The sequence below is a fragment of the Homo sapiens genome, chromosome 6 (genome assembly GCF_000001405.40).
Source record: "Homo sapiens chromosome 6, GRCh38.p14 Primary Assembly".
NCBI classification, from domain to species: domain Eukaryota; kingdom Metazoa; phylum Chordata; class Mammalia; order Primates; family Hominidae; genus Homo; species Homo sapiens.
In genome coordinates this window covers 121,604,965-121,628,668 of record NC_000006.12, presented here as the reverse complement: position 1 = coordinate 121,628,668, position 23,704 = coordinate 121,604,965, and the positions used below count along the sequence as shown (strand labels likewise).

Sequence of the window (23,704 nt, the reverse complement as noted above, 5' to 3'; positions counted from 1 at the left end):
CATGGTAGAGGTCCTTCTTAAGAAATCTGCTAGCAGATTTGTTTTTCAAATAGGTAAATTGCCTGACTGTTCTTAGATACATTTATTCAATAATACAAGCAGAAAATCTTGAGTCATTTCTTTTTATACAGGCATATTTCTCAGCAGTTTAAAAGGACTGTTTTATCCTTGCAAATATGACCTTAGCTTTCCAAATAACCATAAAACTATTTTTTCTTTGCTGTCTCTCATAATTACTTGCAGAGTCAAATAATTGTTCAGTTTGTTACTGCTTCTTAAAACTAGAAAATAAATGTATCCAGATCATTTTAGTTCAGAGATGTTACAACTCTGATAGCTTTGATAATTCTCTCCTAAAAGTCAGTCAATTGAAAATTATGGAGCTCAAGTCAGTAAAAGTATTTCTATAAGTAGTGAATTTTGCTGCTGGAGATGAAACGCTAGTACTTCAGTAAAAAAAAGTAATGTGAATCAATACCTCTGGTGCAGTTGTGCTTGGTAGGCAGTCATATATAACTCCACATGCTGTCCAAGTTCTAGAACCCCTTATGAGAAGACTGGCTGGTGATACAGAACAAACCTCATGCAGAGATTGCTACTTAGTAACATGCTGAGCCATTGTCTTGGCTCGGGATTTCTATGAACCAGAGTGACCCAGGAGTTGACCCAGTTCAGTGCGTGTGGAGCTAAGTCCCAGATGATAACTGTTTGACCTGGTCAGCTGTTCAGGCTCCACCCCAAGACCTGCTGAATCAGAACCTGAATCAGCACCTGAATCAGCAATTGATGTTTTAACAAGCCCTCTAGGTGATTCTGTTGCAATTAAAATTTGAGAACCACTGCCCTAGACAGAAGCACAGAGAAGGAGCACTTAATTCATCCTTGGGCAGTCAGGGAGGCTTCAAAAAAGAGTCATTAATTTTGATAGAAATTTGTGAGGGATGAGAGGAAGATCAGAATGAGTGCAATACAAAGAGCAAGCATTTAAGAAAAAATATAGGGAGAATTTGTTCTACAAAAGATGTAGTTATGAAAACGGAATATTAAGTGTGTAGGCAAAATAGTGGGAAAGATGAAAAAGTGTTGCAGACTTTGTGTGCCATGAAAAGTATCAGCATCTTTGAAGAGCCACTTAAAGTAAGTGGAGTAGATGGTTGAAAGAGATCACAGAGGAAGGAGGTTGTAAAAGCCAACCTAGAACTACAAAAGAGAGAATGGATTCAACAGTTTCTTATGAGGTATATAATTAGCAGTGTTTGGTGTTTGATTAAAAGAAGCAGAAAGGGAATAATAGGATGAGAACCAGTTTTCCTGGATGGAGAAGAGGATGGTATTGTCACCAAATGAGATATGAAATCAAGAGGAGAATGTGTGTGCAATGCATGCACAACACACATTTAGACATCCTGAGTTTGCAAATGCTATAGGACCTCTTAAGGTTGATGTTCATTAGGAGACTAAATTTTATGTCTGAAGTCCTAAAGACAGTGTAGGTTGTAGGTTATACAAGTCATGAGAAAGGGCAAGATTCCTTAGAACTGCAATATGAAGCTATAGAAATTTTGTTTTCCTTAACTACTTTTAGCTCATGGATACTCTTCATGATCTGAAGGAACTATTGAACCTCTTCCCAGAGAAAGGCACTCACAGGTAAAACTCTGCCTCTAATCTCTGTATTTATGGACCCCTGGAAGCTTATCTTCTCATATCTAAGGACCCAGATGAAGAATACTTGCTGTGTAGTTCCAGTTGCCATGTGGTTCCAGAAGTCTTAGAAATCGTGATTAAAATAATACTAGATCAAGGTTGTGTAAGATAATGCTCAATACATGTTAGATGACAATAGCAAAATAAGTGTTAAGTATTTCAATTTTCCAAAAATGAACCTAAACCTTCTCATTTCCCTCTTTCTTTAATCTCTCCACACTACATGCCGTATTCCAGCTAGGAAAAACAAAAAACAAACAAATAAGAAACAAAATAAAGCAAAACATATTCATAATCCCTCTGTCCATAAAATCCAAATCTCTTTACTCTACATCCTTAAGCTGGCTTTGTTTCTTACATATGAGACTTGGGGATAGTATTGTCTAGTATAGTTTTTCCTGCAGTATATAGGGGAAAGGTCATGGGCAAATCATGCTATTTGAAACCATGATTTTGAATCTAGGCTGTGTAATTTGTGAATTATATTACCTAAACTTTAGTATCTTGATTTCTGAAACTCATTTTTTCATCTATAAAAAGGGTTAATGACTCCTATTTTGGAGACTAGCAAATTGAGATTAATAAATTTAGATATTGCAGGAAGATTAAGTAGAGTGCACTGCAGACAGCATGTCTTCCCCTAAATCTTAATCAAGGCCAGTGTCAGGCCTCTGAGCCCAAGCCAAGCCATCACATCCCCTGTGACTTGCACGTATACGCCCAGATGGCCTGAAGAAACTGAAGAATCACAAAAGAAGTGAGTATGCCCTGGCCCACCTTAATTGATGACATTCCACCACAAAAGAAGTGTAAATGGCCAGTCCTTGCCTTAAGTGATGACATTACCTTGTGAAAGTCCTTTTCCTGGCTCATCCTGGCTCAAAAAGCACCCCCACTGAGCACCTTGCGACCCCTACTCCTGCCCGCGAGAGAACAAACCCCCTTTGACTGTAATTTTCCTTTACCCACCCAAATCCTATAAAACAGCCCCACCCTTATCTCCCTTTCGCTGACTCTCTTATTTTCACCTGCCTGCACCCAGGTGAAATAAATAGCCATGTTGCTCACACAAAGCCTGTTTGGTGGTCTCTTCACACAGACGTGCATGAAATTTGGCGCCGTGACTCGGATTGGGGGAACTCCCCTGGGAGATCAATCCCCTGTCCTCTTGTTCTTTGCTCCATGAGAAAGATCCACCTACGACCTCAGGTCCTCAGACTGACCAGCCCAAGGAACATCTCACCAATTTTAAATCAGGTAGGTGGCCTCTTCTTACTCTCTTCTCCAACCTCTCTCACTGTCCCTCAACCACTTTCTTCTTTCCACTCTTCAATCTCTCCCTTCTCTTAATTTCAATTCCTTTCATTTTCTGGGAGAGACAAAGGAGACACGTTTTATCTGTGGACCCAAAACTCCGGCGCCAGTCACAGACTGGGAAGGCAGGCTTCCCTTGGTGTTTAATCATTGCAGGGATGCCTCTCTGATTATTCACCCACGTTTCAAAGGTGTCAGACCACGCAGGGACGCCTGCCTTGGTCCTTCACGCTTAGCAGCAAGTCCCGCTTTTCTGGGGAAGAGGCAAGTACCCCAACCCCTTCTCTCCTTGTCTCTACCCCTTCTCTCCTTTCCTGGGGCAGGGGCAAGTACCCCTCAACCCCTTCTCCTTCACCCTTAGTGGCAAGTCCTGCTTTTCTGGGTGAGGGGCAAGTACCCCTCAACCCCTTCTCCTTCACCCTTAGTGGCAAGTCCCGCTTTTCTGGGGGAGGGGCAAGTACCCCTCAACCCCTTCTCTTTCACCCTTAGCGGCAAGTCCCGCTTTTCTAGGGGGCAAGAACCCCCAATCCCTTATTTCCGCACCCCAACCTCGTATCTCTGTGCCCCAATCCCTTATTTCCATGCCCTGACCCCTTATTTCCATGCCCCAACCCCTTATTTCCATGCCCTGACCTCTTATCTCTGTGCCCTAACCCCTTTTCCCACTTTTCTGGAAGGGAAGAACCCCCAAACCCCTTCCCTCCATTTCTCTACTCTCTTCTCTAGGCTTGCTTCCTTCACTATAGGCAACCTTCCACCCTCCATTCCTCCTTCTACTCCCTTGGCCTGTGTTCTCAAAAACTTAAAATCTCTTCAACTCACAACTGACCTAAAACCTAAATGCCTTATTTTCTTCTGCAATGCCACTTGACCCCAATACAAACTCGACTGTAGTTCCAAATAGCCAGAAAATGGCACTTTGAATTTTTCCATCCTGCAAGATCTAAATAATTCTTGTCCTAAAATAGGCAAACAGTCTGAGGTGCCTGACGTCCAGGCATTCTTTTACACATCAGTCCCTTCCTTGTCTCTGTGCCCAGTGCAAATCATCCCAAATCTTCCTTCTTTCCCTCCCGCCTGTCCCCTAAGTCCCAAACCCAAGCATCGATGAGTCTTTCTAATCTTCCTTTTCTACAGACCCATCTGACCTCTCCCCTCCTTGCCAGGCCTAGCTAGGTCCCAATGCTTCCTCAGCCTCCGCTCCTCCACCCTATAATCTTTTTATCGCCTCCCCTCCTCACACCTGGTCTGGCTTACAGTTTCGTTCTTGACTAGCCCTCCCCCACCTGCCCAGCAATTTACTCTTAAAAAGGTGGCTGGAGCCAAAGGCATAGTCAAGGTTAATGCTCCTTTTTCTTTATCCCAAATCGGATAGCGTTTAGGCTCTTTTTCATCAAATATAAAAATCCAGCCCAGTTCATGACTTGTTTGGCAGCAACCCTGAGACACTTTACAGCCCTAGACCCTAAAAAGTCAAAAGGCCGTCTTATTCTCAAAATACATTTTATTACCCAATCTGCTCCCGACATTAAATAAAACTCCAAAAATTAAATTCTGGCCCTCAAACCCCACAACAGGATTTAATTAACCTCACCTTCAAGGTGTACAATGATAGAAAAAAGTTGCAATTCCTTGCCTCCACTGTGAGACAAACCCCAGCCACATCTCCAGCACACAAGAACTTCCAAACACCTGAACCGCAGCGGCCAGGCATTCCTCTAGAACCTCCTCCCACAGGAGCTTGCTACATGTGCCGGAAATCTGGCCTCTGGGCCAAGGAATGCCCGCAGCCCGGGATTCCTCCTAAGCCACGTCCCATCTCTGTGGGACCCCACTGAAAATCGGACTGTTCAACTCACCTGGCAGCCACTCCCAGAGCCCCTGGAACTCTGGCCCAAGGCTCTCTGACTGACTCCTTCCCAGATCTTCTCGGCTTAGCAGCTGAAGACTGACACTGCCCGATCGCCTTGGAAGCCCCCTAGACCATCACGGACGCCAAGCTTCAGGTAACTCTCACAGTGGAAGGTAAGCCCGTCCCCTTCTTAATCAATACGGAGGCTACCCACTCCACATTACCTTCTTTTCAAGGGCCTGTTTCCCTTGCCTCCATAACTGTTGTGGGTATTGACGGCCAGGCTTCTAAACCTCTTAAAACTCCCCAACTCTGGTGCCAACTTAGACAATACTCTTTTAAGCACTCCTTTTTAGTTATCCCCACCTGCCCAGTTCCCTTATTAGGCTGAGACACTTTAACTAAATTATCTGCTTCCCTGACTATTCCTGGACTACAGCTATATCTCATTGCCGCCCTTCTTCCCAATCCAAAGCCTCCTTTGCATCCTCCTCTTGTATCCACCCCCCTTAACCCACAAGTATAAGATACCTCTACTCCCTCCTTGGCGACCGATCATGCACCCCTTACCATCTCATTAAAACCTAATCACCCTTACCCCACTCAATGCCAATATCCCATCCCGCAGCATGCTTTAAAAAGATTAAAGCCTGTTATCACTCGCCTGCTACAGCATGGCCTTTTAAAGCCTATAAACTCTCCTTACAATTCCCCCATTTTACCTGTCCTAAAACCAGACAAGCCTTACAAGTTAGTTCAGGATCTGCACCTTATCAACCAAATTGTTTTGCCTATCCACCCCGTGGTGCCAAACCCATATACTCTCCTATCCTCAATACCTGCCTCTATAACCCATTATTCTCTTCTAGATCTCAAACATGCTTTCTTTACTATTCCTTTGCACCCTTAATACCAGCCTCTCTTCACTTTCACTTGGACTGACCCTGACACCCATCAAGCTCAGCAAATTACCTAGGCTGTACTGCTGCAAAGCTTCACAGACAGCCCCCATTACTTCAATCAAGCCCAAATTTCTTCCTCATCTGTTACCTATCTCGGCATAATTCTCATAAATCACACGTGCTCTCCCTGCCAATCGTGTCCGACTGATCTCTCAAACCCCAGCACCTTCTACAAAACAACAACTCCTTTCCTTCCTAGGCATGGTTAGCATGGTCTGAATTCTTACACAGGAGCCAGGACCACACCCTTTAGCCTTTCTGTCCAAACAACTTGACCTTACTGTTTTAGCCTAGCCCTCATGTCTGCGTGCAGTGGCTGCTGCTGCTTTAATACTTTTAGAGGCCCTAAAAATCACAAACTATGTTCAACTCACTCTCTATAGTTCTCATAACTTCCAAAATCTATTTGCTTCCTCATACCTGATGCATATACTTTCTGCTTCCTGGCTCCTTCAGCTATACTCACTCTTTGTTGAGTCTCCCACAATTACCGTTGTTCCTGGCCCAGACTTCAATCCGGTCTCCCACATTATTCCTGATACCACACCTGACCCCCATGACTGTATCTCTCTGATCCACCTGACATTCACCCCATTTCCCCAAATTTCCTTCTTTCCTGTTCCTCACCCTGATCACGCTTGATTTAGTGATGGCGATTCCACCAGGCCTAATCGACACACACCAGCAAAGGCAGGTTATGCTATAGAACAAGCCACTAGCCCGCCTCTCAGAACCTCTCATTTCCTTTCCATCGTGGAAATCTATCCTCAAGGAAATAACTTCTCAGTGTTCCATCTGCTATTCTACTACTCCTCAGGGATTATTCAGGCCCCCTCCCTTCCCTACACATCAAGCTCGAGGATTTGCCCCACCCAGGACTGGCAAATTAGCTTTACTCAACATGCCCTGAGTCGGATAACTAAAATACCTCTTAGTCTAGTTAGATACTTTCACTGGATAGGTAGAGGCCTTTCCTACAGGGTCTGAGAAGGCCACCACAGTCATTTCTTCCCTTCTGTCAGACATAATTCCTCAGTTTAGCCTTCCCACCTCAATACAGTCTGATAACAGACGAGCCTTTATTAGTCAAATCAGCCAAGCAGTTTTTCAGGCTCTTAGTATTCAGTGAAACCTTTATATCCCTTACGGTCCTCTGTCTTCAAGAAAAGTAGAATGGACTAAAGGTCTTTTAAAAACACACCTCACCAAGCTCAGCCACCAACTTAAAAAGGACTGGACAATACTTTTACCACTTTCCCTTCTCAGAATTCAGGCCCGTCCTTGGAATGCTGCAGGGTACAGCCCATTTGAGCTCCTGTATAGACGCTCCTTTTTATTAGGCCCCAGTCTCATTCTAGACACCAGACCAAGTTAGACTGTGCCCCAAAAAAACTTGTCATCCCTACTATCTTCTGTCTAGTCATACTCCTATTCACCGTTCTCAACTACTCATACATGCCCTGCTCTTGTTTACACTGCCAGTTTACACTGTTTTTCCAAGCCATCACAGCTGATATCTCCTGGTGCTATCCCCAAACTGCCACTCTTAACTCTTGAAGTAAATAAATAATCTTTGCTGGCAGGACTATGCTGAATCTCTTTAGGCACTGTCTAATCAGATGTCCTGAGTCGTCCCAATTCTTCGATCTTTTATACCTGTTTTTCTCCTTCTGTTATTCCATTTAGTTTCTCAATTCATCCAAAACCGTATCCAGGCCATCACCAATCATTCTATAAGACAAATGTTTCTTCTAACATCCCCACAATATCACCCCTTACCACAAGACCTCCCTTCAGCTTAATCTCTCCCACTCTAGGTTCCCACGCCGCCCCTAATCCCACTTGAAGCAGCCCTGAGAAACATCGCCCATTCTCTCTCCGTACCACCCCCCAAAAATTTTCACCGCCCCAACACTTCAACACCATTTTGTTTTATTTTTCTTATTAATATAAGAAGGCAGGAATGTCAGGCCTCTGAGCCCAAGCCAAGCCATCACATCCCCTGTGACTTGCACGTATACACCCAGATGGCCTGAAGTAACTGAAGAATCACAAAAGAAGTGAATATGCCCTGCCCCACCTTAACTGATGACATTCCACCACAAAAGAAGTGTAAATGGCCGGTCCTTGCCTTAAGTGATGACATTACCTTGTGAAAGTCCTTTTCCTGGCTCATCCTGGCTCAAAAGCACCCCCACAGAGCACTTTGTGACCCCCACTCCTGCCCGCCAGAGAATAAACCCTCTTTGACTGTAATTTTCCTTTACCTACCCGAATCCTATGAAATGGCTCCACCCTTATCTCCCTTCGCTGACTCTCTTCGGACTCAGCCCACCTGCACCCAGGTGAAATAAACAGCCATGTTGCTCACACAAAGCCTGTTTGGTGGTCTCTTCACACGGACATGCATGAAAGCCAGGATCTGAGAGAAGTGCTCACGAGGATTGATAAAACATTATTAGGTTGCTGAACCATTCCAGGACATGTAAAAAAATGAAGAAAGAAAATATCTACCAGCTCTCTTCTCAGGGAACATGTTTGTCTTTGGTTGGAAGGAAATACTTTGATAAGCCGCTTGGAGTGTGAGGTGAGATGCCTCCTTCCCCCAAGGAGTATTTTGAATAAAAACAGATGGTCATTAAACTGTCTCTGTCAGAGGGTGGGTCCAACTTAAAAGAGGAGCTTTAATTTGTAAAGTAGGTTTTGCAGAGCAGAGCTGAGGCCCCATCACTGGCTTTAACCTACCCTACCCTGCCCCCATGAGACTAACAGCTTCTTCTCTAAATAAATGTTAAATAAAAAATTTTAAACCTATTGAATTCATATTATGCAAATTGGCTGACCACCCTGCATTTCTGAGTGCTTGTTCCTTCCCATAGTCTTAGTGTGGCTAAAATATTGGGGTGAAGTTAGCTGTGGGAGTTCAATTGAAATAGCATAGATTTCATGTATAAGACCACATAGGTTTCTCCCCAGATGGTGCAATTGATACGTCATGCTTTGCTGAAGCAATATTACAGGGCTTGCTCTGATTTTATTATGAATCTTGAAGAAACGTTACGGACCTTAAGAGGTCTTAAGAAGTGAGGGTGACAAGACGGGTGGTTTTGGTTGTGCTAAAGTAGTCCTATCTGTGATTGGTTCTAATTTCCATAATTCTGAATAAAATGTTTTTGTGAGAAAAAAGGTATAGGGTTTAAAATGTTTGAAAATCCACTTGAAAAATTTGTGAGGTTTACACTCGTGTGGAACAAACAAAAACCATAACATAATTTTCACAATTTACATCATTGATTTCACATATTTATATTTGTAATAAATCAATGTAATAAATCAATTATATTCTTCTGCATGGAGCACTGTTCTTTTCTTGGTAACTGTGCCAGAATCAGAATTATCTGGAAGCTCTGTTAAAGTACAAGTACTAGACCTCACACTCTGGCTTTTCATTAAGCAAGTGTGATGCTTAATTTTATGTGCCAACTTGGGTGGGCTGTGGGAGTACTCAAATTAAACATTGTTTCTGGGTGTGTCTGGGAGGATGTTTCTGAATGAAATTAGCATTTGAGTCGGTGGACTCAGTAAAGTAGATTGCCCTCCCCAGTGTGGTTGGGCATCATCCAATCCATGGAGGGCCTGAATAGAACAAAAGGCTGAGAAAGGAGGAATTTCCCCTTTGTTCCTGCCTAACTTCTTGAGCTTGGCTATATCATTTCATCTTCTCATGACCTCAGGTTTGGTTATATGTCATTGGCTCCCCAGTGGCCTTCAGACTCAGACTGAATTACACCACTGGCTTTTCTGGATCTCCAACATACACGTAGCAGGCAGATTGTGGGACTTCTTGGCCTCCATAATTATGTGAGCCAATTCCTATTACAAATCTTCAGATATATAGATACAGATATAGATAGATATAGATGAATATGTTCTGTTTTTCTGCAGAACGCTGACTAATACAGCAAGTCTGAGATGGTGCTCACAGATTTGCATTTCTAACAAGTTCCTAGGTGATGCTGATGCTTCTGGTCACTAGGCCACATGTAAAGATAGACGCCTGTCTCCCCTCACATTCTGAGTAAACCGGAGTAGCCTGCTGAAGAGGAAAGGATGAGCTGAATTAGTACCTGATCAACATGTATCAAATTTGCTCTCTTAGTATTTGGTTAAATCATTTTTTCTAGTCCTTCCTATTCAATTTATTTCTCTCTAAAGCAAATATACAATTTTAAAAATCAGTACAGCAGTGTGTCTTCTCTTATAATCTATTGAGTCAGTAGAGGTCATGAAAGCTACTAAGGTAGAGTAGAAAAATGATTTGTCAAAACAAAATATATACTTGCATGCAAATGCCCAGTAACAAAGCCAGAATCTGTCTATATCTATATCTGTATCTATCTATATCTATATATCTAAAAAGTGGAAGAAAGCAGAGTGGAAGAAAAAGTAGAAGAATGCTACTATCTTGAATTAAGTTTTATTTTATGACTTTGGTGAGTGATATTTATTTCATTACTGATTACTGCATAGGTGTTATTTGCAAAAGTTAACCAAATTATTGGGACATTTAAAAAAAACTCAAAAAAATGAGTAGTAACTCACAAGTCATAGAAAAATATATATCAAGTGTTTCAAATACATGAATTTGAGATATCTTCTTACTTGAACATCCACATTTTTAAAAACATTTTCTTTAAAACGTGCAAATTGGAAATCTAATGACTCATTGAAAAATTTTCAAAATAGCCAAAAGTGTCAGTTTATGTAGATCACACTAAATTAATAAATATTGTCTAATGATCTTGCCCAAGAATATTTAAGTAGGAATTATTTCCTGTTTTACGTATTTATTTTGGAATACAAAGAAGTACTAAAACTAAACCAATGTCTTTTATCATCTTTTGTTTGTTCATTTTGGGGAATCTTAAGACTTAAGGATGTACTGCCACATTTTTTTACATTAGCTTTTTTAAAAAAATGACAGAAAGAAAAAAGAGGAAAAAAATTCTCGCCGTGGTAAAACTTCACAGACTTTTTTTTTATCCCCACAGAAAATGTTAATGGGTTAGTAAAACTACCCCAAATTTACAGGTTTATTTAAATATGAAATAAGACTAAAAATAACAGAAAATTTATTTTGATATTCTGCCCAATACATACTTATTCAGGTTGACAGAGGCATAAAAACAAAATAGGGTGAGAGGAGAGAGATTTGAATAAATAGACAAGTATAAAACAAAGTGTCAGCATTTTCTCATAATTCTCATTACCATGCATTGGTTTACCCTATCCCTACTTGGGTAGTGAGAATACAACACTTTATAAGAGCTTTTCCTTTTTTTTTTTTTTTTTTTTTTTTTTTTTTTACTGAAACTTAAATAAGAGTTCAAGCTCTATGAAAAAGAAATTCAGGGTTTGGGGGAGAATTGGTTTCTTTCAGTGTATTCATTTTACATGTGTATTACAAAAAATTACCTAAGTAATGTTCAGAAATAATCTGAAATAAATCCCAACAGCTTTCTCATATTCCTGTAAAAACCTTGTTAGAAACCTTAAGTGAAATAAAAACAGATCTATTTACCAGAGTTCCAAAACAATGTACCACACAACAGAAGATGAAGTTGCAGGGACTGGCAGGGTCCAGACCATGTGAGACTTACCTCCAGGCACTGGGAAGCCATGCAAGACCTTGTGCTTAAAACAGGGATGTTGACATGGTTTGTATTCTTGTAAACTCTACTTTGGCTGCTGTACTGAGAATGGTTTGTGGGGGTGAAAGAATGGATTGGAAGTTAAGAGTAGTCCCAGGTGAGTGGAGACACGGAATTGGATTGGTGTGTGTTTGCAAAGCACTTGTACAGGTTCTTGTGCAGAGTAAGCACTGTCTGAAATTATCAATCAAAATAACTCCAAATTTACATATTTTATAATTTTTCCTCTCCTATCATGTCAAATTCAGACTTAAGAAGATATTTAAGGCCTTCTCCTTTTTTTTTTGAGACGGAGTCTCGCTCTGTCACCCAGGCTGGAGTGCAGTGGCGTGATTTCAGCTCACTGCAACCTCCACCTCCCAGGTTCAAGCAATTCTCCTGTCTCAACCTCCTGAGTAGCTGGGACTACAGGCACACGCCACCAAGCCAGTTAATTTTTGTATTCTTAGTAGAGACAAGATTTCACCATGTTGGTCAGGCAAACTGGAAATCTAATGACTCATTGAAAACTCAGGTGATCCACCCGACAAGGCCTTCTGTTATTCAAGTTCATGTTATTTCTCCCAATTACCTCCCCCACCCAAAATTACTTAATCTAGGACTTTACTATTAAACTGAGGAAGTAGAAGCCATCAAGTCATGAACTCTTCAGCTTCCAAATACCAAATCTTCAAATCTCCCCTAAATGTGCACTAATTCTTTTCTCTTAATACATGACTAGGAGGTGTTTCTCTTGCCCAAGGCTAAGCTTTACCTCAACTTTGGATTCCAGCCCCTCTAGTCTTTTTGAATTCACTATCTATCCTTTAAATTATTACTTCTCTTACTGGTATCATCAACCACTTTTTAATCTACCAACTTCTTCCTATAGCACTTTCTTTCCTATTTGAAAAGAATCCACAACTCCTCTTCACTTCAAAATTTTCTGAAGTTTGAAAGTTCGTGGTCTTCATTTCCTTACTTATTCTTTTTTCAGCCTCATACTAGTTAATTTCCACCTACACTTCTCATGGTATTTGTTCTTTCCAAGGTTGCCAAAGAAATGAGTTCTCAGTCCTTCTCTTACTTGCCTTCTTATAAGCCTTTAACACTATTCAGTAATCTTCCATTCTTGAAATGTTCTTTTCTTTGCTTCATTGAAATTTCCCTCTTCATTTCCTTAGGAATATTTTTGCTGGTCTCACAGACAAAGTTAGGTCCTGTATTTTACATATATTCTCCTGGAAGAAGATTTAAAATAGAAGTTTTGGGTGAATTCCTAAAATGGCATTAAGGTGAGGTAGAAAACCACGATGGAAACCTTTAGAGAAAAACGTCAAACCCAGTTCATGACTCCTTAACCTTTCATTTATATGGAGATCAAAGGTTTTTCAAGATGATTTATTGGGAATAGCTGGGCTGCGAGACCAATACCCACCACTGGGAGGACCTCTCCATTGTCTATTCACACCTGAAACCTAGTGAAAGTGGCTTGAAGGAGAGTTTTTAAAGAGTTTGCTATTCATCTTCTACAGTTAAGAGAATATATAGGGGACTGGTGTCTGACATGCTGTACAGAAATGCCAAAAAGAATGTGAGATGGTTGTCATACTAAGAGATGATCTGAAGAAGATGAGTTTCTTTGGAATCTGCCTGCACTCCCATCATCAATAGGGCAAATGCTGTGTGAAGGTCCCCAAGAGCAGGTGTGGGCCATGCACAATGAAAAGAAGTTGTGGAGCCAACTTAGGTTCTATCAGGACCATCTAGGCGTAGGGGCAGGGAGGAAGACCTCAGTGGAGAGAAGCTAAAAGTATCCCATGGTTCTTAGGGCATGTGAGGAACGTGTATGCAACCTGCAAGAGAAGACAGCACCTTAGGCAAGGAAAGTACAGGTGAGAGACTCTACTAAGAACATCCAAAATCACCCTCAAAAGAGTCAGTTTTAGACAAGGGCCAGGCCCAGGACCAAGGAATCAATTTAGAATAGTCCTAATCCAATAAGAAATGTTCTCTTCCTCTTTCCTATTTTTCTTCCTCACACCTTCAGCCCTTCCCCAGAAGAGTCAGGAATAGCAACTAGTAAAAAAGGAATGAGAAAGAAGGAGGCAACCACACCTCTACCCCTACTGAAAACCTGAGGGAGCACAGCATTTACATGGAATGGAGCTAGAAACTTGACTATGAGAAGGGGCAAGCACTCTAATTTCTGGCTTAGAACATGTTTGTAATCTAAAGTGACCATAAATGTAAAATGACATTGTCCAAGTATTCATGGGAGCAGAAAATCACCTCCCTCCAAATTTTAAAGGGATAATGAGAGACAACATACAGGTGCAGTCTGCACACTCATGTGTCCAATGGGTTCAATGTGCCAGCTATACTCCCATACACCTGCTGTACAACTTCAGCTTTGTAAATGTCATCACAGTTATAACTACTTACTTGAGCTCTGCTTATCCCGTGAAAGCTGTCATGTAGCTTTATCCCTAGACCTAAGCTATCGGTATATTATTCTTCAATTAGTCCTCCTTTCATGCTATTTTTCTGGATATATTGTGTCCAATAGCTTCTCTCAGCTTTTGTTCCTGCTATTGTTTCCATCTGTGATATCTCTACCTCTAAGCTAAACAACATAAATTCTACTCAGCTTCATGGTCCATCTCAAATCTTGTTTTCTTCGGGAATTGTTTCTCACAGCTCCATGCCCTGCCGGCCACTGCCTTCTCTGAACTTATCCTTACCCTCATTTCAACACGTCACATTTTTATGTGTTGACATCGTTCCAACAATATTATAAGATCTTTTGAGCAGAGACCAAGTATTTTCACAATCTATTGCTGTTAAAAACATTATTCATCTCCTCAAGAAATATTACTTATTTTAGTCCGGGCACAGTGACTCATGTCTGTAATCCCAGAACTTTGGGAGGTCAAGGCAGGAGGATTTCTTGAGGCCAGGAATTCAAGATCAGCCTGAGCAACATAGTGAGACCCTGTCTTTACAATAAATAAATAAAAGAAATATCATTTTAGAGCCTATTTTGGGTCAGGTACTATGTGTGGACTAATAAATATTCATGGTTTTGAAACAGTATAATCTGCATAACATCTTGTATGTAGGTGGAATCAGTCAATGGAGTTTCAAATGTACATTTTAGGCTGGACACGGTGGCTCATGCTTGTAATCCCAGCACTCTGGGAGGCTGAGGCAGGCAGATCACTTGAGCTCAGGAGTTCAAGACCAGCCTGGGCAACATGGTGAGACCCCATCTCCCGGGCTCAAGCAATCCTCCCACCTCAGCCTCCCAAGCAGCTGGGACTACAGGAGCATGCCACCACACCCAACTGATTTTTACCTTTTTTGTAGAGATATGGGTCTCACTGTGTTGCCCAGGCTGGTATCAAACTCATGGGCTCAAGTGATCCTCCCACCTCAGCCTCCTAAAGGGCTGAGGTTACAGGCATGAGCTACTGCACCTGGCCTATCATAGTTAAAAGATTGTTATATCTAAACATATATCTAAAATAAATAATATCAACAATAAATGTGTAGAAAATAATGTTTTAAACAAAATATGGTAAAACATTAACAATCGTCGTATGGGTATAAAACGCAACTAGGAGCATTTTGTTTTTTTCTTTTCAGTTTATTTTTGATAAATGTTCATTAATGAGCATATATTGCATGTATAATAAAGATAACCTTTAGGTTTGTGTGTGTGTGTGTGTGTGTGTGTGTGTGTGTGTGTGAAGTGTATACTGTCTCTTCCTTCTACAGACTTTAAACCTAAATAAACCCCACCCTTCTTTTCATTCTACTGTTACTGAATGTGCACATAAGTATGCCAAAGGGGATCTGGGAAACATTAATTTAGGGAAGATACATAGTTCACTATATTCACGACATTTAAAAAAATTATCCATAAAAATGTCCAGTAATGCTTTATCCTTTGATGAGCAAAACACTAAGCTAAGCCAAACTATTTTTCAGTCAAGCATGTTCAGGAGACAACCTGCCCATGGTGCTGATAACATCAAAACTAAATATTCCGGTTGCTTAAGTGAATGCAGTTTAAATCCCTTCGGATGTCTCAATAGGTATTTCCATCAGTGAAAATACAAAACCATTTTATCTGGGCTGTGTTCAAAGTTGTTTATTTTGACTGTGGTGCATTGTATTATGTTTTCATCTTAATTTAAAAATTTGGGTAAGCATCAAATTCCTCATACTGTAAAAGCAACATAAAGCAGTATTCCTTAAGAAAAGCACAAAGCATTAGCATGAGTGACTGATTACCTGCTGCTCCTTTCCAATTATTATTAAGTTGAATTATTTTTAACCCATTTGTTGTTTAGAAAAAAAAAGTGCAGCTCACTGCCCGTGCAGTATTCGAGGGGCAAACTACAAATGGGTAATTGACTTTCGAAGTTTTCTTAATAAAGCTTCTAAAGACTAACGCCACATTTTTGGTCAAGTCTCTTACCCCTGAGCCATCTCGATTTGTTTTGTTTTATGGTTTTGTTTCGTTTTGTTTTGTTGTCTGGGCTAAATTTCTATCTCTTTGAAGCTATTACCTACTTTGAAGTTTAGCCTGGGAAAGCATTTTGTTTTGGAAGCCAAGAAGTAATCTGGGAGAGATAATCATAATTATATGTGATAATGTGAAAGATTCTTCATTCTAGCATAAATATTTCATGCATATAAATCTTACCACTCAGTTATTTTTATCCCAGTCTGAAGACGTATATTATAATGCCTGTATCTTTTCTTTTATGAAGTTCTGCCCAGTGAGGAGAAAGCAGGCAGTATATAGAAATTACAAAAATGCCCTACAGTTAAGAGCTGAAAAGCAAAGTCATTAAAGTTTAAAACAACTTAAGCTAAAACAACGCAAAGGAAAGTATAAAAAAGTATTAATGAAATTATTCAAAGGTATTCTTTGAAACATTTGAGAAGTCTCATTTTCACTTATTACAGTAAAAGAATAAAAAGATTATTAGTGCTGGGATGTATTTAAAAATTTTAGTTTTTATCATTTCCTACAATAATCTAAATAGTAACAGTAGTAAGTCTAATAAACTAAAATGTTTTACTGTCCTACACTGATAGAACTTGTGCATTTTAACATTCATTAAAGCAACAAATATTTCTCAAGTGTCTACTACATTTGAGATAATTGAGCTAAGTGTTGGGAATACAGTAATGACCAAGAAGCAGTCCCTACTCTTAGTGAAATTGTAAAAAGGCAAGTAAGCCACTAACTTTAATATAATATAGCAAATGCTACAATGGTATTAAGGCTACATATGGTAACGGAATCTATCCCAGTTTTAAAGGTTTGGAAAAAGCCTTCAAAAGAAGGTAGCAGTCAAGCTGAGACCACATCTCTGTGAAGAAAGCATTTAGTTAGCCATGGAAAATAATTCTAGGTTAAGATAATATTTATTTAGTCAGCAAGTAGGTGAAATAATTTAAAATTAATGTAATATTTAAGGTAGGAAAGAAGAAAAAGACTAAGAAATAGATAAACATGAAAAGGGAAGAGAAAATGATAAAAAAAAAAAAAAAGGAAAATATCATTGGATGGTTAAGTAAACTCTTCTGATTTCTTCTCTTAAAAATCACCATCCAAAATAAAAGAGAACAAGAAGGGGGAAGCAGGAGAAGAGGGGACCAGGTGGGTGGTACATAGGCTGCTCTGGGACCTCAGTCTCCATCCCTTCCCCTGCACTAAAAAATATACCAAACAAAGAAAACAAAATCCAAGAGAACAAGAAACTGAAGCACAAATTCCTTCTTTAATGAAACCAGAAGACATTTGTAACTGCATCCACAATAGATTATAAACCTAGCAGATGAAAAGATGGAATATTTCTTAGGAGAAGCAAAAGAGTCCAAATCCAAGTGCTTGGGACAAAATATATATATATATCCTGATGCAAAGTAATCTAGTTTGTTGTTCAGGTCCCCTGAAAGTTTCAGCAATTGGAAGTATCAGGTATCTCTGAAGGTGAGCATGTAAGGGGTTTCAAAACAGCAGTAATATTTGCAAATCTTTGAAAGGAGCAGTAAGACCCTCAGTTTGTCCCATCTTTGTGCTATTAGGTAACTAGGTACACTGCAAGAATTGATTTTTTTAAGAAGTTTAACCTGAAGTCTTTCAGAGTTGAAAAACAAATCCAAAGCAATTCTGGAGTAAGATATTAGACTTAGTTTCTGGGTGTTAATGGGAGAAATGATATGGATTTAGTAAAAACCTACACGCTGAATTGTGAAGTAAACAGCTCCCAGAACTACTCAGCCCTCAAATGCCAGCTGCTAGACATAATCTTAAAGCAGGAATCTGGAGGATTATCCTCTAGGAACACTAACCCACTCTTAAAAAATCATATAGGTCCACCAGTCCAATGGGCAACCTGCCCCAATACAAAGATCTGCCAAGCCCTTTATCGATTGGTGTTCCACTTCTGAATATATACTGAGAACATTAAACATAAAAGACAATGATGAAAATAAAAATATTCATGGCCAGGCACAGTGGCTCATGCCTGTAATCCCAGCACTTTGGGAGGCCAAGGCTGGTGGAATGCTTGGGCTCAGGAGTTCAAGACCAGCCTGGGCAACATAGAGAGACCCCATTTCTGAAAAAAAAAAAAAAAAAATTAGAAAATTAGCCAGGCATGGTGGCATGGCGTGAACCTGTAGTCTCAGCTACTCGGGGTCAGGGGTAGGGGTGTGGGTGCTGAGGTGGGAGGACTTGAACCAGGGAGGCAGAGGTTGCAGTGAGCCAAGATGATGCCACTGTACCCCAGCCTGGGCAACAGAGCAAGACCCTGTCTCAAAAAAAGAAAAAAAAAAGAAAGAAAGAAAAGAAAAAAGAAAGGAAAGTGAAAGAAAGAGAAAAATAGAAATAACCATAAAACAAATAATCATAAAAGGGTTGTCTTGAAAAGTAAAAATTATACCTCCAAATAAAATATTCAACAAATGGGTTACAACATGAAGTCTGTTTTCCTAGAAAATATAATTAAAAGGCCCAAAACAATAAATAGTAGGAAAGCAAAAGAAAAAAATGGAGAATTGATCCAAAATATCCCACATTCAACAAATATCTATCCCAAAATGAGTTAATAATAATAATAATAAAAGTGGGAAGAAAACTATCATCAAAGAAAGACAGAAAAGAATATTTTTCAAAATGGATAAAAATAATACGCAGTGAAATTAATGGGGTACAGTAGGACTCATGACTGTGCATTTTATTATGAAATCTCAAAAATTTAAGTTTGAAAAGAAGATCTTAACAGCTTTCAAACTTTTAAAAATATAAAATTACATAAAAAGGACGAAGAATGGGCTTCTCAATTGTAACATTAAATGCTAGAAGACAAAGACTATGCCTTTAAAGTTCTTAGTGAAAATGACTTTCAATCCTAAATTCTATAGACAACCAAATACTAACCAAAGGTAAGATAAAATACTTTTTTAAAGATTCAAAAACTCAAAAAAAATTATTTTTTCTTTATGTTTTTTTCAAGAAGCTCTCAGAAAAAGTTCTCTACTAAAGTGTGTGATTAAACCAAAAGGGAAGAAAGCCTGAGTCTTAAGAAATTGAGGTCAAACATGAGAAAAGACATGAAGGAAATTCCAAAGTTTAGGGCATGCCTAGAGAGCCATTGGTCCAAACTGGAGTAGGAGGACACATGGTTTCAAGAGAAATGTCTTCCAAAACAAAACAAAACAAAAACAAAAAAAAGATTATTTTGGCAAGATTAAATTGTAGAAATCTATGAGAAGCATTTTGCAGAACTACTGGAAGGGGTAGAAAACTTAGCTCCTGGTTCAAAGAAATGAAATAAATGAAAAAATATGAAATGAGAATTAACTTCAGAAATATGTAAAAGTGTAAAAATCAAGCTCATACCTATACTATTTGGCTTCACAATTTAAAAAAAATTACATAACCATAGCAACTCCTTTAACTAAGGATTTTTAAAATTACGTTCTAACTATTGGGCAGATGTGGGGATAGATAAGGGGAATGTAAAAGAACTAAAATCTCTACCTTCTTTTAAAGAGGTGAATATAAAATAACTAAATTGAATGAACCAGGAACCATCAATACTTGTACAATATTTAGAAATACGTAAGTAGGCCAGGCACAGTGGATCACACCAATAATCCCAGCGCTTTGGGAGACCAAGGCAGGAGGATTGCTTGAGGCCAGGAGTTCAAGGATCACTCTGATCAACACAGATAGACTCTGTCTCTATAATTAGAAAAAGTAGTAGATTATTATTTTTAAAAAGGCAAAATAAATATTTAAATAAACACTATAAAATTGTTTTCAAAGTTGAAAATAGTTGCCTTTATGCAGCAGTAATAAGGGCAAGGGAGCTATAAAGGGAAAGGACCTCTGGTTTTATGTGTTAAGCTTTTTAAAAAGTATGTGCATGTGTTGCCTTGATCAAATAAAAAGTTTTAAATATAATAAAACTTTTAAAGGATATTTAATAGTTTGAAAATATAGCTATACACAAAAAGTAGAAAACACAGCTATCTATTCCTTGACTAAGATTTTATTTTCTATTCCTTGACTGTACTGGCCTTTAAACCAGCACATCATCTGTTAGTGAATCACCAACAATTGAGTAAACATGTTTTCTCTTAGAGTCTACAATCTGAGCACAAGCACAAGTGCAAATTGTTTGGGAAGTTCAATCCTGTAAATGTTGGCAGAAGTCAGTGATTTAAGAGATTTATAAGTAAAACGAAGAGGAGACAAATAGACCTTTCTTTTGAGAGTATTACATAACGTGTCTTCCTGAGTATGTTTGTAAACAACGAACATTCTACAAGAATAATCATTTTTCTTTTTAAAGATATTTCTACATAGCCAAAGATCCTCTGATTCACCTACCAGATAATATTGCAAATATTTTGCATTGATTTCCAGTTAAGTTTACATTTAAAAGTTGGTATTTGCCAGAAACACCAGTAGGTCAGTTACACACATTGCTTCCTATAATCTCTATATGCTTGTGAGACAAGCATTATATTGAAAGCAGGAGTTCAAAGAGGTTATATGACCATCCCATAATCACACAGTTGGCATGGAACTCAGACTGGATCTTCTGCCTCTTTTCTTGCTATGAAGAAAGCAGGTTTTTTTGTATTTTTCTTCTAATTTGTATTTAATGTTATAGGATTTCCAAATCTTTGCTGAGTAATCTCGATCTTTGCTTTAATGTCAACAGAGATTAAATGTTCCTTTTACTCAGAAGATTTATTAAACCCAATTTGATACATTTAGTCTGTTTATGCCTCTCTACACCAAGACAATCAAATCTAAAGAAGAAGAAACGTGGCTAAAGGGATTTTCAATTTTTAATAGAGTCCAAAGCTAAAGTGTCTACATGCTGAAGTATCTAGAGGAATGTATAATGGTGTCTGCAACATAACTGAAACACATTAAAAAAAAGATGGATTGTTCGATGAATAGAAAAATGGCTAGATGGTTAGATAAGTGATAAAACAAGTATAATAAAATGTTGGTTGCAGAATATATAGATGCTCACCATAAAATTGTTTCAACTTATTTGAAGACTTTCATAAGAAAGAATTGAAGAAAAATCCAAAGCATCTAGCTGTTTGCGTGTATGAGAGAGTGAATGAGTGAGTGTGGGCAAAAAAGAAAGAAAACAAAAGAGAAAACACTAAAGCATCTAGACTGCAGTGTCTAATAGAAATACAAGAGCCATGAACTCAAGTCACATATATAATTTTAAATTTTCTAATAGACACATAAAGAAAGAAAACAAACAGGTCAAATTAATGTTAATAATTTATGTAACCCAATATATCATTTTCAAGATGTAATCAATAAAAAATTAATGAGATATTTTATATTCCTTTTTTCATAGTAAGTCTTCAAAATCTAGAGTGTATTTTCCACGTATATCGCAATTCAGACTAACCACATTTCATGTGTGCTAAACAGCTACACATGAGCCAGACGTAGTGGTGCTTGCCTGTAGTCCCAGCTACTCAGCAGGCTAAGGCAGGAGAATCACTTAAGTTCAAGAATTTCAGTCCAACCTGGGCAACATAGCGATAACCTGTCTCAAAGAAAAAAGAGCTAATCACTGGAGAAATGTAAACCAAAATCACGATGAGATACCATATCACACCAGTCAGAATGGCTATTACTAAAAAGTCAAAAAACAACAGATGCTGGTGAGGCTGCAAAGAAAAGGGAACACTTACACACTGTTGGTGAGAATGTAAATTAGCTCAGCCACTGTGGACAGTAGTTTGAAGATTTCTCAGAGAATTTAAAACAGAAGTAACCATCATTCGACCAGCAATCTCATTACTGGGCATATATGCAAAAGCAATGAAATCATTTTCCCAAAAAGACACCTTCACTCATACATTCATTGCAGCACTATTCACAATAACAAAGACATGGAATCAGCCTAGGTGCCTATCAACAGTGGACTGGATAAAGAAAATGTGAAACACACACACACACACACACACACACACACACACACACGGCTGTGCAGTATATATATATATATATATATATATATATATATATATATATATATACCATGGAATACTGCACAGCCATAAAAATGATGAAATCATGTCCTTTGCAGCAACATGGATGCAGCTGGAGGCCATTATTCTAAGTGAATTAATGAGGGAACAGAAAACCAAATACCACATGTTCTCACTTATAAGTGGGTGCTAAACATTAGGTACTCATGGACATAAAGATGGCAAAAATAGACACTGGATACTACTAGAGGTGGGAGGGAAGGAAGGGGGCAAGGGTTTGAAAAATGACCTTTTAGGTACTATGTTCACTACCTGGATGACAGGACCATTGGTATCCCCAACCTTGGCATCACACAATATAACACACATGCACATGTAACTGAATCTAAAATAAAAGTTGAAATTATAAAAAGAAAAAAAATAGCTACATGTGACCATTGGCTACCTTACTGGCAGTGCAGATCTTGATGTAAATTGGCTGACCATGTTCATAAACTCATTCAAGCATTTGCATAAAGCAAATACAGTAAAAGAGAAAAATAATTTCCTAAGAGAACTACAATGTAATAAATTGTGGCCATTTCACAGTAAATCTCTCAGCCAAACCACAACGTTACCTAAGTTTTATATATTTCAAAATACTGGACTGGGCGCGGTGGCTCACGCCTGTAATCCCAACACTTTGGGAGGCTGAGTTGGGCAGATCACTTGAGGTCAGGAGTTCGAGACTAGCCTGGCCAATGTGGTGAAATCCTGTCTGTATTAAAAATACAAAAATTCTCTGGGCATGGCAGCAAGTACCTATAACCCAGGCTACTCAGAAGGCTGAGACAAGAGAATCCTTTGAACCTGGGTGATGGAGGTTGCAGTCAGCCGAGATCACACTACTGCACTCCAGCCTGGGTGACACAGGGAGACTCTGTCTCAGAAAAAAAAAAAAAAAAAAAAAAAAAGCTATTTAAATAAGGATTTTCTTCTGCTTCTTCTTGGGAGTAGAAAATAATTTATTGGACATGAATATGGAATAAGAATCTATGAATCACACTTTAAAAAAACTATTTATCTTGCCTTCTACTCTTCTTTACATTTCCATAGTTATATACAAAATAATAAATACAAAAAAGAAAAAAAAATTTCCAAACCTTAAGAAATATTTTACTAGACCTGCGGCATTTTTCTCTCTTAAACATCTGCTGTGGTAATATACTCCTCATTACTAATATCACAGCATGCCTTAGAAGTAAAAGCAAAAAGACAAATAATGACATCACATGTAGATGACAATTTCTCGGTTGTCTTGAGTTGGAATTTCTAGGATTAGAAATAACTGATCTATCAGTCTTTCCTTAGAGGATGAAACTATTTATTTGAAAACTTAATGTTCATAAAATAAAAATTATCTTTTGCAACATATGCAATGGTAAAATTTTAATAAGGAATTTTTATCTTATAATTCCTTAGTGACTTAAAGCAAATATAATTACAGCTTCCAAATCTCTCACCAAATGAGAAGAAAAAAAATACAACTTGAAGTAAATTAGATTGATCTGGTGTATTAACATTAATATGATTTAACCTATTAAATGTGCTTTATAGATAGTAACTATCAG

At 38.7% G+C, this 23,704-nt stretch overlaps 3 annotated features.

Annotated features, from left to right (window-relative positions):
• Positions 273-1,472: an enhancer, noted in NCBI's record as "BRD4-independent group 4 enhancer chr6:121948343-121949542 (GRCh37/hg19 assembly coordinates)". NCBI's record gives its function as "activates an origin of replication core promoter dependent on BRD2, P300/CBP, MED14 and CDK7 cofactors, and independent of BRD4, by STARR-seq in HCT116 cells {active_cell/tissue: HCT116}" and the evidence as "EXISTENCE:reporter gene assay evidence [ECO:0000049][PMID:35650434]".
• Positions 7,654-8,306: an enhancer, noted in NCBI's record as "OCT4-NANOG-H3K27ac-H3K4me1 hESC enhancer chr6:121941509-121942161 (GRCh37/hg19 assembly coordinates)". NCBI's record gives its function as "activates a minimal SCP1, AML or CMV promoter by ChIP-STARR-seq in naive H9 embryonic stem cells {active_cell/tissue: H9 hESC(naive)}" and the evidence as "EXISTENCE:reporter gene assay evidence [ECO:0000049][PMID:30033119]".
• Positions 9,102-9,742: an enhancer, noted in NCBI's record as "OCT4-NANOG hESC enhancer chr6:121940073-121940713 (GRCh37/hg19 assembly coordinates)". NCBI's record gives its function as "activates a minimal SCP1, AML or CMV promoter by ChIP-STARR-seq in primed H9 embryonic stem cells {active_cell/tissue: H9 hESC(primed)}" and the evidence as "EXISTENCE:reporter gene assay evidence [ECO:0000049][PMID:30033119]".